General features: G+C 52.7%; 1 protein-coding gene across 1 annotated transcript in view, besides 2 other annotated features; it reads left to right on the top strand.

Moving 5' to 3' along the window:
* The window catches only part of DLGAP2 (DLG associated protein 2), a 970,849-nt gene that overhangs the window by 712,890 nt on the left and 239,069 nt on the right, over positions 1 to 18,890 (top strand). The window lies entirely within an intron of this gene.
* Positions 5,202 to 6,401: an enhancer, noted in NCBI's record as "CDK7 strongly-dependent group 2 enhancer chr8:1403885-1405084 (GRCh37/hg19 assembly coordinates)". NCBI's record gives its function as "activates an origin of replication core promoter dependent on BRD2, BRD4, P300/CBP, MED14 and CDK7 cofactors, with strong dependence on CDK7, by STARR-seq in HCT116 cells {active_cell/tissue: HCT116}" and the evidence as "EXISTENCE:reporter gene assay evidence [ECO:0000049][PMID:35650434]".
* Positions 5,520 to 5,669: a silencer, noted in NCBI's record as "fragment chr8:1404203-1404352 (GRCh37/hg19 assembly coordinates)". NCBI's record gives its function as "represses an EF-1alpha promoter that drives an FKBP-Casp9 reporter gene in an ReSE screen in phorbol 12-myristate 13-acetate-treated (for megakaryocytic differentiation) K562 erythroleukemia cells {active_cell/tissue: K562(+PMA)}" and the evidence as "EXISTENCE:reporter gene assay evidence [ECO:0000049][PMID:32094911]".

The following is an 18,890-nucleotide window of genomic DNA, read 5'->3' on the forward strand; positions in this document are numbered from 1 at the left end:
CTGTGAGGACACATCCATAATTAAGGCACTGCGGGGCTGGCAGGACTCGCCTTTCTGTGAACCATGGCCCCAGGGCTACTTCCTCCTGCCTACCTTTTTTCCTTTCCAAACTTTGTCTTCCCCCCCATCATTCCCACTCTGCAATTATGTGACACTGTGGTTCTAAATGGCCTATGTCCCCAGGGCCTTGGGATGAGGAGGGGGCCAAGCGACAGGCACCGTCCTCCACGCAGCATGGCTATGTCTCTGCGCTCAACGTTCCCAAGCCTGGGAGACAGAAAAGTACTATTTGGGCAAATATTTAGAAGGTATTTGTTCTGGTAAAGAACAAAATCATAATATTTATTTTAAAAGAGACACCGTAATAAACAGTCCTCTATGAATTGCTTAGTGAAACACTTTTTATGTTGCTTCTCTTTGTATAATTTCTCTATTTGGAAATGCATCATACCTCGTAAGGGCGCCAGTGACAAGGGAGTCCCAGGGTCACCGAATTCCAGGGCATCACTGGCTCACTTGGCAGAGCTCCTGTGGTCCCTACGGTGGTTTTAAAGTTACATGAGTAACACATATCCTACTTAGTGGATTCCCGTTCTGTGGGCCATGGGTGGGACTGGAGTCACACCTTTCCAGCATGTTCCGCCGCTGCCAGTGCTGCTGCATGCAGGCCATATTTGGAGCCTGGTTCCTCCTTCTACACCTGAAGAAGGAACAGGCCTGTTGCAGCGTAACTAACATCCTACATAACTACACCACTAAAACTCAGCTGACTCCCCAGACTCAGTCCCTGGGGGAGGAGGCAGCCAAGGCCGGCACCCCTTTCCCTGTCCAAGTGCCTCCAGGTTGCATGCATGAGTGAGTCCTCCAGCCACCTCCTGCCAGACCTGAGGTTTGCTTGAAGCTTTATCACATCCATCAGCCCAGCACGCTCTGAAAGGGCGCTGGTGCCAGGGTCCCTGTCCCGCCTTGATCCTTCCCTACCTCAGCACCACCCCTGGTCCCATAAACCGCCTTAATCCTTCCCCACCTCAGCATCGCCTCTGGCCTCATCAAATCCGAGGTACCTGTTCCGCCTCCATCACATGTCCCCTCCTGGCTTCCCTCCGCCTCTGTTGCCGGCTCCTCTTCCCTCCCCACATCGAAAACTGAGGTCCCCAGCAGCCCCTTCTCAGCCATCACACAGCCTCATGCTGCCTCCGCCTCAGCAACTCCATCTATGTCCAGGAGCTCCCTCCACAGTAACGACTCCCACATCTTCCTGAGGCCACAACATTCTCCCAACGTCCGGATATCCCACTAGGTAGCTGGCCCACATTCGCTGCGATCATCACTAATGTACCCAAACCATCCTGTTCCCTCCACCAGAGCTCACGGGCTCCCACACACACGGCCCAGGCCCCACACCCTGCTCTCTTCCGTGTTATCTGTCCACCACTCCCATATCTGACTCTTAAAACGACAACAAAATCTAGTTAAGAGAACCGGAACTGCGGTTTCTGCCGATGTCCCATCCTGGGCAGCACACAACCGAGGCATCCGGATCTGAGCCATCTGTGAATTTGCCACTGGGCATGGTTGTAGCGAACACATGCATGCCAGGGCCGTGTCTTCCAGCTGTCTGTCAAGACACTGCCTCAGTTTGAGGCATAGCCCCGTGGCTGGATGTTCTGTGGCTGCGTGCTCTGTGGCCATGTGTTCTGTGGCTGGGTGTTCTGTGGCTGCGTGTTCTGTGGCCATGTGTTCTGTGGCTGGGTGTTCTGTGGCTGGGCGCTCTGTTGCACAGTGAAGGGCCAAGCACCCTCCATACAGGTGTGCACAGGACAGAGGTGACTGTGGGAACAGCACCAAACATCAGCCCTGAGCCGAGGCTATGCGTGCGACAGGTTCATCAGCCCCAGCTGGGGAAGGAGAATGAGAACAAATGGAAGATGCATTCAGCACCAGTGGACATGGAATATGGTCATCTCAGGGCCGCTAGGATGCCCGATGCTTCTGAGCTTGTGGGACACTGGGCGCTCCGGGGAGAGCTGGAGGCCCAGTGGCCCGGCTTAAATTGCCAGGCAAAGGGTGGAGGCAGGACACAGGGAAGAGGAGATGGAGAATTCTGGAGGGAAACAGACCACTTAGGAGGCAGGAGATGCCGAAACATTATCAGCAAAGGCTCTGTGCGGGTTCTGCGCTGGGCAGCTGAGCTGTCGCCTCCACAGCAGCCGGGGTCAGGCTGGGTCAGTGGTTCTCCAGGTGTTTCCCAGACCAGCATCTCTGGGGACCCGAGCTTCTTAGAAACGCAGGTCTATGGATCCCAGCCTATGAAACCAGATTGTCTCAGGACGGTGCCCATTAAAGAGTCTCTGTTTTTGTAAAAGGGGGGTGGCCAGGTCTATTACGAAGGCCTGTGAGCCCCCACCATGCAGTGGATCATGGGGGTTTGATACTTGTCGGGCGGCAGGTGTTATGGATGGGAAGGAGACGTGAGAAGTCCACAATTCAAAGGAAGACACACTGAGTGCCATCTGTGAAGGGTTAGACATTTCTCTGGGGTGCAAATGGACACAAATGACCAGAAGAGAAATCCCTTGTAGAGGAGACTGCTCGGGAGCTGAGATGCCAGGAAGGGGAACGTCGCAGGTATTGGAGCGCGCTGGGCAGAGGGCTGGGGTGGCCTACTGAGCCCAGGATGGAAGGTCTTAGGCACACAGTTCTCGGAGCTGGGACGGAGACGGGAATGGGCCGTGCTGGCCGGTCAGGCTGGGGAGAAGCAGGAGGAGCCTGGGGAGGTGTGTGACTGTCACCAAGTGGGAGAAAAAGTATTTTTCCTTCATCATATTTATCTTCTTGAGTACTTTCACAAGTGTCTGAGAAAGAAAGACAGCCCATAATGAAATTTACCTTCTTAAGTAGGTTATTGTTAGGGTCGACCTAATTATTCCATACCTAACAGAGAGAACGGAGTGTATGCTGGAGTGTTGGCGTGGCTGCATTGAAAATCATTATGTATTCTGAGTGAAACACCCAGAATTTAAGTGGATTATTCTTGAGTGCAGTCATTTGCAAACTGAGTTTGGTGACACCTTACAGAACGTCTCTTGGGGTCCCTTGCAAGAAGCATAATTCAACCTGTGCCTGCAACACCACCATCCACCCAGCCGAACTCTCTACCTGGGCCTGAGAAGCGGGAGAATCCGCCCCATCAACTCTTCTCACGAGAGTATGCACTTGCCTATTAGAAAATGTGTTTGGAATAGTAACCAGCAGGAGTTTCAACATACTCCCAACCCATAAGGCATCATGCAAGAATTATGAAGAAAAACGCCCCCTCATTAGACAGCTCACTTTGATTTCAGTCTCCATGGAAACTGGATATTCAGATGCTCTGAGATATTTTTGTCTTTGGGGTTTTGCATGTCTTGGAATGTGGACATGTGCACAGATACAAAGCCAGATGTGGCGTGTGGCGCAGGCGATGTCGGCTGGCGTGGCCTCCTGCCAGGCAGTGGGATCCGCTGAAAGGCAGAGTGGAAAGTTAACACTGTTGAATGACAGATCGCAAAGTTGAAATCTGAGGCACGATGAAGCCATGGAAACCACATGCAAAGAGATTTGAGAATGTTTTCTGGGCTGGGGATGGGGTTCGGGTCTTCGCAAACCCTCTGTGGATGTGTGTGTATGTCTGTGTGACAAGCACGTCCACAGCCGCCCGGCAGGATGTCCCCGTAAGGTTTCATCCACAGCGTCCCCACTTGGGAGGTGGCCGAGTTCCACTGCCAGCTTTCCCAGCTGCTGAACAGTAGCATCCATGGCAGTCTGAACACAGTGAGGTTTTTCTTCCTCTGTAACGTTTTTTTTTTTTATCTTTTCTCTACACTGAAACTACCGTCCCTGCGTGAGTTTGAGGGCAAGGGTGTTCCTGCTGGCAACTTCACAGAGGGGAGGGCAGGTCTTTCTGGCACAGCAACTGTAGTGGTGACTCGAACCAGAAACCCACCCCTGGAGGAGAGGAGCAGAAAACACTGCTTCCTCCTGGGTGGGTTGAAATCGACCAATGTGAGTGTTCATTGCAAGGAAAGCCAAGATTCATCTCCATTAAGATCCCTTTACATTTCCGAGCTCCATTCCAGGGGCTGGATATTTCCAAAAACTCAAAGGACATTTTTGACTTCACTTTTTCTCTAAGGGAGTTCAGCTTGAGGGCTGAGATATCTGTTTTGTGGTTCAAGGTCATGAGCAGCATCCTAGTCACAGAACAGGCAGGTAGAAAAGGAATAAAGTCAGTGGCCCAGAGACCCCCACTGAGCACTCAGACCTTCGATACCCCATCAGGATGATGGAAGGTTAGGGCCTTTGGTGGTCCTGTGGCCCACCCTCCCGTCATGCAGACAGGATGACCTGATGGCCAGGACAGGAAGAACAGCCACCTCTGAGCTTCCCCGCCCATCGGGCCCCCAGTTTCCACACATTCACCCATGGTAAGGCACAGCCACCCGTGAGCACTGTCAGCTACATCTTGGGGGTCTGGGGAGGGGGGGATACCGGATGCAAGGAAGGTTCCAGACACATCATCAGCTCCTTGGCTGCCGTGAGGGGTGGTTTGAGCAATGTAATGAGCTCATGGCAACCCTGTGAGCGGCTGGTCTGAGAGCCCGTCTAAAGCCCAGAGGGAGATGCTGGCATCAAGTCAGTGAGTGCTCAAGGTCACAGCGCTCCACGTGGACGCCCAGTCAGGTGCAGGTGCAGGTGGGTCCCGCCCATCTCAGGCACTGATTCTCATGCGCTGGGGCAGGGCCCCTCTGGAGCTGCCTGCCTGCAGGTGGGGTTTCCCGATGGTGGGGCCAAGGCCGCTGCAGACTGAAGTCCACATGAGTCCCCCTGCCCCTCGGGGTCCCAGGGGGACCCTGGTCTGTCAGGACTCAGCTGTCGGGGAGAGAGCTGAAAGGAAGATGTCAACATTCGGGCCTGAGCCTAGACAGCTTTGCCCGTGTCCTTCACGCCTGAGCAGGGCTGAGAGGAGGAAGTCAGTCCGCCTGACACACAGAGGCTTGCCAGGACCTTTTGCTTTTCCTTGCAGCCTCGGTGGAGGCGGAGCGCACCTCATCTTTGAGCTTGTCCTGCTGTCTCAGCCCAGGGCCAGTCCCACTGCCAGGGGCACGCCCCCCATTTATATATTAATTAAGCGTCACATCCACGCCCCCCATTTATATATTAATTAAGCGTCGCATCCTCCAGAGGCACTTCCTGACCCTCACCCCAGCTGCATCATGCCACTGAGTGAGTGTGCGGAAGGCACCACCTCCTCCCATCAGCAAGGCTGCAGCGTTCCAGGCAGACCACAGACTCCAGGACGGCAGGCGGTCGGTCTGTCTTGTTCACTGTCTCGGCCTCTGCCCGGCACGAAATCAATCAACATGACTGAGAGGCTGGATCCGAGGCCCCCAGCATGTGGTCAGACCCATTACACATCATCTTGTCTTAAAAAGACCTGATGCCCCATGATGCACACCAGCCCGATGGCCGCTCGCTGATTGGATTCTGAGGAATCTGTTGTTGGCCAACTCCTGGGTCCCTCCCAGCAGCTTTCGATGGATCAAAGCTTGACTCCCATGTCGCGTTGAACTCAGGAGTGAGTTCATGCCGGTTTTTGAGCCACCTCTTTCCTAAGAAAGCTGCGGATTCTGCAGCATTTTGCAAACAGGACGCCCTAGTCTCTCTGCCAAACACCGAGTGTGCTGCACGCTGCCTTCCTCATTGGCAGCATTGTGGGTTACAGAATGTTTCTACACACACGCTTCTCCCAGGCTGCCACCCTGTACGTATTCATCACGCCCTTTAAATATGACCGAAATTCTGTCGTCTTCCTGACTAATGGTGCCGTGTATCTAAACATCAAAGCATTTTCAAGGCAATCACATAATGATTCAAAATTGACTTTGGTGTCTCCTTTGCTGCTTGCACACAGCGGATCAAGAATCTGCTGAATCATAATCCAAGGATTGTGATAATGTGGTCCCAGAAAAGGCCCATTTCATAGTAAAAACTGGTTTGTAAAAATTATTATCAGAAGCATCACCTTTTTGCAGCAAACTAAGCAATTTAATTAATGAAAAAGTGTCACCAGAGAAACACAAATTGCATCATTAGAAAAATAAAATGAGACCGATTGTTGAAGAGTTGTCTAGGATCCTTATGTGACTGGTAACCAGCAAACGCTGAAGGCCCCGGTCGTTGGACGTCAGCAGGCTGTGCCAGGCTGTGCACTGGTGAAATTGGTTTTGCGAGGGAGCTCTGTGATGCCGTGAGCCCGGGTGCCTGCACTCTGGTCGTTGGACGTCAGCAGGCTGTGCACTGGTGAAATCGGTTTTGCCAGGGAGCTCTGTGATGCCGATGAGCCCGGTGCCTGCCCTCCGGCCCCGAGCGGTCTCTCAGTGACAACACATCACAGCACACTAATGAGCGCTGGCGCCCAGGCCTGCAATTAGCCTTTCCCGAGTTCAGAGGGCTGCTTGGCTCTGGGCCTGCAGATCACAGGGCTTCATTTCAATGTGGTCATCTTTGTTCCCTCCGTGCCCCTAGTGATTTGATAAAAGACTCCTATTTTATTGGAGTTGCAAGATTTTTCAGTGTATCCTATATTCAAGCAGATGAAATATGTTGGAGTAGGCCTTTTGTGTATTCGTTTTCATCCCATTTTATTTGTTTTGCTTATCTACATTTTTACAAGATCTAACTCCAAGGGGTTGTTCTCAAGTTATAGTCATAATTCATCGACGTGTTCGATGGCTGGCAACCACAGAAATGGTTGCAGAGAGAAAACAAACGTCTCCACTAGATTTCTTCATTGTTCCTGCTCCTGCTCTAAAATGAAACTCTGAGTTTTCCTGGAGGCTGTGTATGCCGTAAGAAATTTACTGAGAAATGTATTCCAGCATATTTATCTATACTCGGTCTCCTAGAAACATAGGTTTGTATCCTTAACTAGTAGCCCAGAAATCTACTTTGAATACTAATAGGACAAGCTGATGGCAGCAAGTTGAAACTTTAATTCTGATAAGACAGATGGTTCTTCGCAAACCAGCTTCATTTTGAAATAAACTGATATCTGGTATTTACTAAAAATGGTATCTTTCTTACAGGCAATTTTTCCTCACTATGTTAATTGCCATATTTCTCTTCCCTCTAATGCAAAGCATAACTTCCTTCATGAAAGCCAAATATTGTAGCCCCACACACCTCCCCCGTCCCACGCCTCCCCCAGAAGGTTGCCCTTCCTCCCTCCAGGATGCCTCAGTGATGGCAACAAATAGCTGTTGTCTGCAGAGTCACGCAACTCACTACTTGTCATTTTCTTTGTTAATTCTATTTTCAAGGGCATGCACATTTCTGCAGCTCATGAAATTCCTTTAAACTATGATGCAGGGAAATTATAAAAGCTAAACTCCTGTCAATTGTCTCTGTTCTCTGATCATATATATATATATATATATATATATATATATATATATAATTTTTTATATGTGTGTATATATAATTATATATATATATATGTATATGTATATAATTTTTTGTATGTGTTTTTAGTAGAGACGGGGTTTCACCATGTTGGCCAGGATGGTCTTGATCTCCTGACCTCGTGATCCACCCGCCTCGGCCTCCCAAAGTGCTGGGATTACAGGCATGAGCCACCACACCCAGCCTCTGTTGTCTGATCTTAATAAGATCTTCTATGTTGCCTTCCTGCAGCATGTTTGGAAACACAAAATTTTTGAGTTTTTAAAATTCTGGTCATTGAAGTTAGTTTAGTATTCTGAATAACTGAGCACCTTCCCCACAGTAAGGATAAAACCTTTTACTGTGTTTTATGCCTTCAGGTAGAAGTTATTCTAACATGTATCATACCTGGCCTTTTATTGTGTTGAGTCAGATGAGATGACTGATACTTCACTGTTTTTGACCTTCACAAATGCCATCTTCCTATGGTTCAACCTGACATATTTAGACAGGCATTGTTACCTGGCATCATGAATAATGGTTCAGACTTCAGGGAGTTCATGAAACCCTACAAATTTCTGCAAAGTGGTGTGTAAATGTGTCTATGGTTTTTTATCAAACTCAAAACAATCTCTGAGCCTCCAGCAGCACAGACCTGCGTGTGGCTTCAGGTTGCAGGACAGGGCTCAGAGCAGCCTTCCCTGGGGAAGACAGGGTTTGCACACAGCCTTCAGGACCCACCTAGGATGTGTCGGCTTTGAGAGAACACAGGGAGTTTTCTCTGCATCCAGACATGAAAACAGGAGTGGGAGAAGGCAGCCGCACAGGGTGTCCCAGGACAGAGAGCAGGGTCGGGCGTCCCCATGATATGGGGCTCTGTAGGCTGTGCTAGGGCCTCTGGCCACTCAGCATCTTTCCCACCAATGTGCAAGACCAGTGTGTGTCCCAGACAGGAGTGACAACCAGGTGGTTTACATGCATCTACCCGAGGGGTCACCCTACAGACCAGCATGCGTCCCAGACAGGAGTGACAGCCAGCTGGTTTACATGCATATACCTGAGGGGTCACCCTACAAGACCAGCGTGCGTCCCAGACAGGAGTGACAGCCAGCTGGTTTACATGCGTAGACGCCAGGGGTCACCCTACAAGACCAGCGTGCGTCCCAGACAGGAGTGACAGCCAGCTGGTTTACATGCGTAGACCCCAGGGGTCACCCTACAAGACCAGCGTGCGTCCCAGACAGGAGTGACAGCCAGCTGGTTTACATGCATATACCTGAGGTGTCACCCTACAAGACCAGCGTGCGTCCCAGACAGGAGTGACAGCCAGCTGGTTTACATGCATAGGCCCCAGGGGTCACCCTATTCTGCTGAGCATGTTAATATTTTAAGCGCCACGTTCAGAGATTGTCACTTGTCATGATATTCATTATCCATAATTAATATTGCAACTGAGGAATGCTTGAAAGATGTTCTATTCCATGCACGCTTGTTTGTCACTGTCAGGAAAACTTTAAATGGGCTTGGGCTCATTTCTTCTTCAAATTAACTGCAATACCAAGCATGTATTGTTTATAAAATTGATTAATTGCACATATGTAGGAAATGGGAGCAGGCCTAGAGCACTCACAGAGCTGTCAGGATCATCCAGCACCCTCTCTGGCATTTTAAATTCTGTTGTTTTCTTTTTTTTTTTTTTTTTTTGAGATGGAGTCTTGTTCTGTCACCCATGCTGGAGTGCAGTGGCACAATCTTGGCTCACTGCAACCTCTGCCTCCCAGGTTCAAGCAATTATCCTGTGTCAGCCTCCCGAGTAGCGGGAATTGCAGGTGCGCACCACCACGCCCGGCTAATTTTTGTGTTTTTAGTAGAGACAGGGTTTCACCATGTTGGTCAGGCTGGTCTCAAACTCCTGATCTCAAGTGATCCACCCACCTCAGCCTCCCACAGGGCAAAAAGTACTCACAGAGGTTCGGGACCTCGGGTGTTTTTATGTAATGGAATGAAGTCAGTAAACCTTTTCACGTTCTGGAATTGACAGAGGGACCATGAGAACACCCATCCCATGTCAAGAACACGTGCAGCGTGAGCAGGAAGGACGCTGGCATGTGGCCGGACTCGGTTCTGCGGCCCCGGGCTTCTGTCCACACCATGCTTCCTTTGAAACATGGAGCTACATAAGCCTAAGAATTGAGCCTGTCATTGTGAAATAATCCTCCACTGAAGACCACTTGCTCCAATACAACAGAGCCATGTTCTCTGTGTACAAGTGGCTTATGATCGAACTTGTGTCTTATGACTATTTTGTTTTAATTTACTATGAAGAAACTAAACCACGGGCTCTGATGTTGTGAACAGATATCTGTGGAGTAAATTCAATGTGTCAGATGCTGGCTAGGACTTTAATCAGCTGATTTCGTGTCGTCCTCAACACAACCCCTTGAAGATTAACATGTCGCTTTACTGATGAAGCCAGCAGAGCAGGGGACGCCTCTCCTTCCCCTCTGTCACGGCTGCCTTCCTGGAGCCACAGTGGATCACAGCAGAGCATGGTGACTCGACGGTCTCTTCACTGATGGTTTTCGTGACAGGTTTTTCATTGATAGAATTGTAAAATTTGATTCTTTTTTGCAGGAAGACAGATAATTTCTTGTGCATTTTTTATATATTAGATGGGGGTAACATTTTCTCAACTTTAAAGAGATAACTCATAATTTGTTTTGTGGCACAGTCTCTTTGGAGACTTTGGGTTGGAATCAAGAGTAAAGAATGGTTTTTACTAATCAGAGAAGATACTTTATGGGTAAAGACTGCAATATACAAACCTGGAGACCAGCCCTACTCATCTGGGTGGCCAGTGGGTTTTATTCAGTATAATTTCCACACAAGTCTTTGGGTCGGTAGGGATCAGAAAGGACTCTCTCCAGAGCATAAACACAAGGGTACCATTTGGACAGAACTGAGTTTGGAAAGCCTGGCCTGGGTTTCTGCCTCCATAAACCAAAATCAGCAGCTCTCACGTGGGCTGGGCACAGTCGCTGATTCAGTGGCCAGGAGGAGAGAGAAGGGCGGCATTTGGGTTGGGAGAAGGTGCTGCTGTCACGTGGGCTGGGTGCAGTCGCTGATTTCGTGGCCAGGAGGAGGGAGAAGGGCGGCATTTGGGTTGGGAGAAGGTGCTGCTGTCACAGGACTGGGTGCAGTCGCTGATTCGGTGGCCAGGAGGAGGGAGAAGGGTGGCATTTGGGTTGGGAGAAGGTGCTGCTGTCACAGGACTGGGTGCAGTCGCTGATTCGGTGGCCAGGAGGAGGGAGAAGGGTGGCATTTGGGTTGGGAGAAGGTGCTGCTGTCACGTGGGCTGGGTGCAGTCACTGATTTGGTGGCCAGGAGGAGGGAGAAGGGCGGCGTTCAGGTTGGGAGAAGGTGCTGCTGTCACAGGACTGGGTGCAGTCGCTGATTCGGTGACCAGGAGGAGGGAGAAGGGTGGCATTTGGGTTGGGAGAAGGTGCTGCTGTCACGTGGGCTGGGCACAGTCGCTGATTCGGTGGCCAGGAGGAGGGAGAAGGGTGGCATTTGGGTTGGGAGAAGGTGCTGCTGTCACGTGGGCTGGGTGCAGTCGCTGATTCGGTGGCCAGGAGGAGGGAGAAGGGCGGCATTTGGGTTGGGAGAAGGTGCTGCTGTCACAGGACTGGGTGCAGTCGCTGATTCGGTGACCAGGAGGAGGGAGAAGGGTGGCATTTGGGTTGGGAGAAGGTGCTGCTGTCACGTGGGCTGGGTGCAGTCACTGATTTGGTGGCCAGGAGGAGGGAGAAGGGCGGCGTTCAGGTTGGGAGAAGGTGCTGCTGTCACAGGACTGGGTGCAGTCGCTGATTCGGTGACCAGGAGGAGGGAGAAGGGTGGCATTTGGGTTGGGAGAAGGTGCTGCTGTCACGTGGGCTGGGCACAGTCGCTGATTCGGTGGCCAGGAGGAGGGAGAAGGGTGGCATTTGGGTTGGGAGAAGGTGCTGCTGTCACGTGGGCTGGGTGCAGTCGCTGATTTGGTGGCCAGGAGGAGGGAGAAGGGCGGCATTTGGGTTGGGAGAAGGTGCTGCTGTCACAGGACTGGGTGCAGTCGCTGATTCGATGACCAGGAGGAGGGAGAAGGGTGGCATTTGGGTTGGGAGAAGGTGCTGCTGTCAGGTGGGCTGGGTGCAGTCACTGATTTGGTGGCCAGGAGGAGGGAGAAGGGTGGCGTTCAGGTTGGGAGAAGGTGCTGCTGTCACAGGACTGGGTGCAGTCGCTGATTCAGTGACCAGGAGGAGGTAGAAGGGTGGCATTTGGGTTGGGAGAAGGTGCTGCTGTCACAGGACTGGGTGCAGTCGCTGATTCAGTGACCAGGAGGAGGGAGAAGGGTGGCATTCGGGTTGGGAGAAGCTGCTGCTGTCACAGGACTGGGTGCAGTCGCTGATTTGGTGGCCAGGAGGAGGGAGAAGGGTGGCATTTGGGTTGGGAGAAGGTGCTGCTGTCACGTGGGCTGGGTGCAGTCGCTGATTTGGTGGCCAGGAGGAGGGAGAAGGGCGGTGTTCAGGTTGGGAGAAGGTGCTGCTGTCACGGGACTGTGGCTACCTTGGGTGGATGGGAATTAGTTCAGTTCCTCCCGCACTCGGTCATCCTGCAGTAGCTCAGCCTCCAGGACTCAGGCTGCCAGCGTGGGTGGCTGGGGAAGGGGAAGGGACCAGGAATGTACCATCTCAGGCCCAGGGAGCCACGTCCCCCCGCAGAGGCCAGGGATGCCTCCTGAACAAGCCTCATCTCCGTGAGATACAGCAGCCCTCAGGCCCCCACACGGCGGCGGCTTCTGATTTCTAGGATCTATTTTATCTGAAACGATTAGTTCAAGAAGGAAATGTTACTTCCCAGCAAATGGCTCAAACACATGTTGCCCTCATCCCATTCCATGAGAAGTTGGAAGTAAAATTAAAGTTCAAGTGGGCCAGGCGTAGTGGCTCACGCCTGTAATCCCAGCACTTTGGGAGTCTGAGGCGGGTGGATCATTTGAGGTCAGGAGTTCAAGACCAGCTGGGCCAAAATGGTGAGCCCCCATCTCTACTAAAAATACAAAAATTAGCCTGGCGTGGTGGTGTGTGCCCGTAATCCCCGCTACTCGGGAGGCTGAGGCAGGAGAATCGCTTGAATCCAGGAGATGGAGGCTGCAGTGAGCTGAGATCATGCCATTGCACTCCAGCCTGGGTGACAGGGCAAGAATCTGTCTCAAAAAAACAAAAGAAAAAGATCAGGGAAGGTGCTGATGAGACAAGCGGCCCCAGCGTTTGTGCTGGTTTTGGTTATTGATGAAATAGTGGGAGCAACTGCGTTACGTGTGTCATAAAATACATATGATGAACTGACAGAGAAAGCCACTCAGAGAGAACCCAGCATGGCTATGTAGTGTGTCCAGGGACCACCCATGCTCCCCAGGAACTCCCTTCGAACCCACCGTCCAAAGCCAGGGTCAGGCAGCCTCGGGTATGGTTGGCTCAGGGTCCTGTTCCCAGGACGCTCCTGCCCCGGGTGGCCCCGAGCTGGTCCGGCCTCGCGTTGAGGGGTCCAGTGGTTTAAGCCTGAGTTCTGAACATGTGTCAAACAAAGCAATCCCATCCAGGAGGCGGTCGGGATACCCAAATCTCACTTGCATTTCCCAGCAAGCATTCGTGAAAACAGACTTGCTGACCAGGCACTGGCCACGTTGAACATGGTGTGAGCGGCCCAGGCCCTCCTCCGTCAGATGGGCCTGGAGCACGGGGTGGGCGAGCAGGTGCAGCCACGAGGGCTTCAGGAGCTGTGGAGGCGATGGTGTGGTTTGAGCTGATTCACAAGCTCTGCTGGGGTTTTCTTTCCATCTTGTGACCTGGGCCTTCCAGGGAGCTGCACGCGCTCCTGGGACACGTGGAGCTTTCACAGTTGTCCTGAGGGAAGAGGAAAAATATCAGGCACATAACAACTGAGGAAGGAGCTGAAACCTGGAAGAAAAAGACCAAAGTATCATGGGAAAAAAAGGGAAATCAACAGAATTCACTGAATGTCGCAACAGCCGCCTTCCTGAAGAGCTTCCTTCCAGCTGAGCTCCCAGGCAAGTCACTGTCCCCAAAGCCACGTTCCAGGACAGCACCCATCCAGGACAGCTCCCTTCCAGGACAGCACCCGTCCAGGACAGCTCCCTTCCAGGACAACACCCTTCCAGGACGGCTCCCTTCCAGGACGACACCCTTCCAGGACGGCTCCCTTCCAGGACGGCACCCTTCCAGGACAACGCCCTTCCAGGATGGCACCCTTCCAGGACAACGCCCTTCCAGGACGGCACCCTTCCAGGACGGCACCCTTCCAGGACAACGCCCTTCCAGGATGGCACCCTTCCGGAATGGCATCCTTCCAGGACAGCTCCCTTTCAGGCTGGCTTCCTTCCAGCTGAGCTCCCAGGCAGTAAGTCACCATCCCCAAAGCCACCTTCCAGGACAGCTCCCTTCCAGGACGGCACCCTTCCAGGAAAGCACCCTTCCAGGACAATACCCTTCCAGGACGACTCCCTTCCAGGACGGCTCTCTTCCAGGACAGCTCCCTTCCTGCTGAGCTCCCAGGCAGCTAGTCACTGTCTCCAATGACTGAAGGCAGATAGAGGGGAGACAGGGCCAGGAAGAGCTGTCAGGGGCTGGAGACACGTCCCTCACCTTTCATTCTCCATGCTGAAAGTGACCTTGGGGGCCAGAAGGGCTCACTGCCTCACGCCTCACCGTCCTGGCCTCCAGCGAAGCACCGGGACGTAGAGAGGCCATCAGATTGCAGCAGGATGATCATTATCATATCAGAAGCTGACCTTCCTATGCAAGAGTTTCAGAGGAGGACATAGAATCACTCTTCACAAAAAAAAAGTAGTATCTGAGTAGAGAAAAAGCACAAACCATGTGAGGGAAAACACACCACAGTGGTTTTTCTATTTTCTCACTCAACAGCAACCAACACAGGAGACTTCGATGACCAAATGTTGGGGGCTTCTCCCCACCACCCAGCAGGTGACCAGCTCTGCAGGGGTCACCAGCCAGGGATCCCCTAATTCAGCACATTCACCTGGCGGGAACCTCAGGTCCCACAGGGGGAGGGCTGGGTCCCCAAGACCACCCACGACTTTGGATGCTGATCACAAGCTCCAGGAGCTTCTAACCAGCCAGTGGTAAACCGAGGCTCCTGCAAGCCCCCCACACGTGGGTTCCATTCATTTGCTGGAGTGGCTCCCGAAACTCTGGGAAGCACCCATGTTTGGTGGTTTATTATAAAGGATACAGATGAAGAGATGAGCAGAGCGAAGGGAAGAGATGAGCAGAGGGAAGGGGACAGATGAAGAGATGAGCAGAGCGAAGGGAAGAGATGAGCAGAGGGAAGGGGACAGATGAAGAGATGAGCAGAGGGAAGGGGCGTGGGGTTCCATTAATTTGCTAGAGTGGCTCCCAGAACTCTGGGAAGCACCCATGTTTGGTGGTTTATTATAAAGGATACAGGTGAAGAGATGAGCAAGGGAAGGGGCATGGAGTTTCTGTGCCTCCCAGGGCACCACCCTCCAGGAACCTCCACGGGTTCAGGTGTCTGGAAGCTCCACAAAAACCCCGATCCCAGTGCTAGGGCGTTTTGTGGAGACTCCACTGGATGGGCGTGACTGAGGCTCAGACAGCCGTGTGGAAATGGGACTGGAGAAAGTCGCTGCGCTCTGTGTTGCTAGCAGACCAAGGGTGGAAACTAGCAAGGCCTATGTGTTCAGACTCTTCCCGGCCCCTCTGTGCCGCGTTTCTTCCTCAGGGGCGTGAGGTAGGACCCTCTGGGGTGAGGGTTTTGGGACTCACAATGAGAAAGGTGGGTCAGAGAATGTCTTTATGGCCAACGCCATGACAGAAAGGCCGGGAAAGGTCCCTGCCTTGGGGAGAGAAAGGAGCAGTGAACGGAGTGGGAGGTCAGAGAGAGACTCCCAACGTTACAGCAGAGGCCGTGGGAGTCATGAGGCGGGCACCGTGGGCGAAAGCCGGTTGCATCCATCGTGACAGCGCCGTCTGCTTGTGCTGTCTGACATACTTTGCATTTTGAGTAATAAATTAACCATATTCGTGTTGGAGCGTTTAGGTTGAAGTCAAGTGTGCTCTTGACCCACATGGAGAAATAGTCAGAGGGGTCAAACCGACAGTAAAATAAAATATTAGACTCTTTACTAATCCACAGAGTGGGCTTTGCTTTTTTATCATTTGGACTTGAATGGCTTAACTGACAATTTGGTGCCAGGCAACCTGAGCCAAGCAGAGCAGTGATGAGGCCCAGCCGACCCTCATCCTCAGCCGTGGCTGCCGCAGGAGACATTTCCCCCCTCCCTTTTCCTCTTTTGGGCTGGAAATCTGCCCACTGGAACCACGCGTGCAGTGACCCTGTGGAGACACGGTGGCTCAAAAGGGAATTTTTTTTCTTGGCACAGGGTATCAGGTACCAGGGTATAACTTTTCCAGACATCTCAATTTGTGTGTGTGTGTGTGTGTGTATGTGTGTGTGTCTGGCCCATATGTGATAAAAACCTTAATTTCAGTACTTTCCAGAACTCTCAGGTGCCGAGAACTTACCTAAATTCATAGTAGTAACATTTTGGATTAAAGAGCTGCTGCTATTTCTGCTCAGTGGCATTTCTCTGTTAGATACAGAGGCTGTGTGTGCCATGCAGCTCTCAGTGAGAGGAAGGAAATGATCACCATTGCGTGGATAGTGGTGTGATGTGGTTGGTGAGACGTGTGGTAATTACTGTTTTCCAGGAAGTGGCCAGAACCTAGGAGCTACCAGGCCAGGGAGAAGCTGCTTCTTTTCTTTCTTTTTTCTACTTTTTCTTTTTTTTTCCCTTAACTACAGCCTAAACACACCTTTTAGAAATTAGTTTAAAAGAGAGCTAGTTATAGAAGTGATTTTAAATTTTTGTAAAAAGTGGCTGAAAGGCTGAACACTTTGAAGCTTCAAGAAAGTGGGGGGGATGTGGGCAGATGGGATTTTGCCGGGTGATAAAGAAGACGGATGCCCGGCCCCGGGACCAGGATGGTCAGTCCCAGATCCAGCCAGAGGGAGGGAGGGTCCGGCAGGGGCCTGGGAGGGTCAGTCCCAGATCCAGCCAGAGGGAGGAGGGGTCCAGCAGGGGCCCAGGAGGTCTCTCATCGTCATGCATGGCTTCTCTGTTGGATGTCACTGAGTGTCCTTCACCACGGTCCCTCCCCCCAGCCCCACTGCACCCTCATATCCACATCCAGCCCTCCTTATGGTCCTCCTGCAGTCCCTGTTCCTCAGACCCATCCCCATGTGACTGTACTTCCCATTCACGGCCCCCCACAGCCCCCCAGAGCTCTGCCTTCTACCTCCTCAGGACACCTCCCAGGAGCTCCAGAGAGACCCAGGACCCCCACTCACCAAGAGGCCCCCTCACTAGACCCGTTGAAGGCAGGGACTCCGTGACCTCGGCTCCAGACCCCCATTACCTTGGCAGAGCCCAGCACAAGCTGGCGTTTGCTGAGTGGATGGGAGACCACGGGCATTTGGTGTGCACAGAGGGAGGGTTTCAGGGAGTGTTCGTGTCAAGTGGACAGACTGCCCTGCCCACCTTCCCATAAGCCTGCACATTTTAGCCCCCAGCACAGAACCACGGCAACGTCCCATCACTAAAGGGAGCGTGGCCTGGCTGCTCTCCATAGCTCACTGCTGCCAGTAAGGGGGGCAGAGTGGCAGAGACCACCGTGGTTCTCAAACTGTGTCCCACAGTGCCTTGGGGTCCTGCGCCCTGCTGCAGGGGTGGCGCCAGGGTGAGAAGCTGACTTGGCTCTGAGATCCCAGATCCCCCCTGGTCAGGAGGCCACCACATCATACAGCTTTGTTTCACTAAACATAAATAAATAAATACGTTCTGAGGCTACACATTTTTGAAAAGTGTTACCCAGCTGGAACCGTGCTAATTCTTTCAGCCTCCTGTTCTAAGAGAGAATCTTTGTGCTGCAAAGTGGGGGCGCTGTGGCTTGCATCTTGACCCCTGTACAGAGACACTTTCAGAAATCACTTGCCAAAGACGTGGACCCAGGGTCACAGGAGCAGGGAGGTCCAGGCAGGCCCTGAGTCCCCAGCAGCCTCGGTCCCTTCTGAGAACCTCCCCAGTTCACACAGCGTGGATCCGGGCTGGCCCTGTGTCCTCTGCAGCCTCGGTCGGTTCTGAGAATTGTGCCCTGTTCACACAGCGTAGATCCGGGCTGGTCCTGAGTCCCCAGCAGCCTCGGTCCATTCTGAGAACCTCGCCTGTTCACACGGCGTGGATCTGGGCTGGTCCTGAGTCCCCAGCAGCCTCAGTCCATTCTGAGAACCTCGCCTGTTCACACGGCGTGGATCCGGGCTGGTCCTGAGTCCCCAACAGCCATGGTTTCTTCTGAGAACCTCCCCGGTTCACATCGCATGGATCCGGGCTGGCCCTGAGTCCTTAGCAGCCATGGTGGGTTCTGAGAACCACACCTGTTCCAACACATGGATCCCAAGCCTTAGGCTCCTGGTGCCACCAGGTCAGGACCCCGGCATCCCTCCACCCTTGAAGGAAACCTGGGAAGCCTGTGCTTTGGGGCCAGTGCATTCCTCGCTTTATTTACTGGGGCTGCCGTAAAACGTGACTCCAGCCTGGGCAGTGTAAACCACAGAAAGGCATCTTCTCGCCATTCTGGATGCCAGAAGACCAAAGCTGAGGCATGGGCAGAGCTGCACTCCCACTGCAGGCTCTGAAAACCCTCCTCTTCCCTCCCACTCTCCATGGATGCCAGCAGCTTGTGGTGACCGTCATCCTGGGGCCACGCTGCCCGGCCCAGACTCTCTTCCCGTGTCCATCCTGCTGTGCTCACTCCAGCCTCTCTCTCTCCTTAGAAAGACATCGTCCTGGTATTAGGACCACCTTCCCTCTGTACGACCTCATCTGAACTTGGGGCCACTGCAAAGACCAAGGTCAGAGTCACAGGCTCCGGGATGAGGCTGTCAACACATCCTTCTAGGGGACACAGTTCAACGCATGACATGTCCTGTCATTCATTCTATGAAAGAAATCCATGCTGGGCGCCCCGTGTCCAGCTGGGATGTGAGCACCAGGCAGAGGCCTGCCCTAAAAGCTGTGGCAGATCCTCCAGTCCTGGGGCTTCCTCCCCTCGCCCAGCTCCTGCACAGTGAAGGGTGGCTGTGGCCAGCAGCAGTGGCCGTGACAGCAGCCACCCTGGCTCCCAGGACAACACCTTGCGGCATTCAGCTCTGAGCTGCTCCCTGCCCAGCAGGCCCCGTACGAGAGCGAAGCGGGCTTTATTCTGGCTCCTAGGAGCCGGCTGTTAATGCGTGGCCACCATCTCCTCAGG

Source organism: Homo sapiens, chromosome 8 (assembly GCF_000001405.40).
Source record: "Homo sapiens chromosome 8, GRCh38.p14 Primary Assembly".
Classification (NCBI taxonomy): domain Eukaryota; kingdom Metazoa; phylum Chordata; class Mammalia; order Primates; family Hominidae; genus Homo; species Homo sapiens.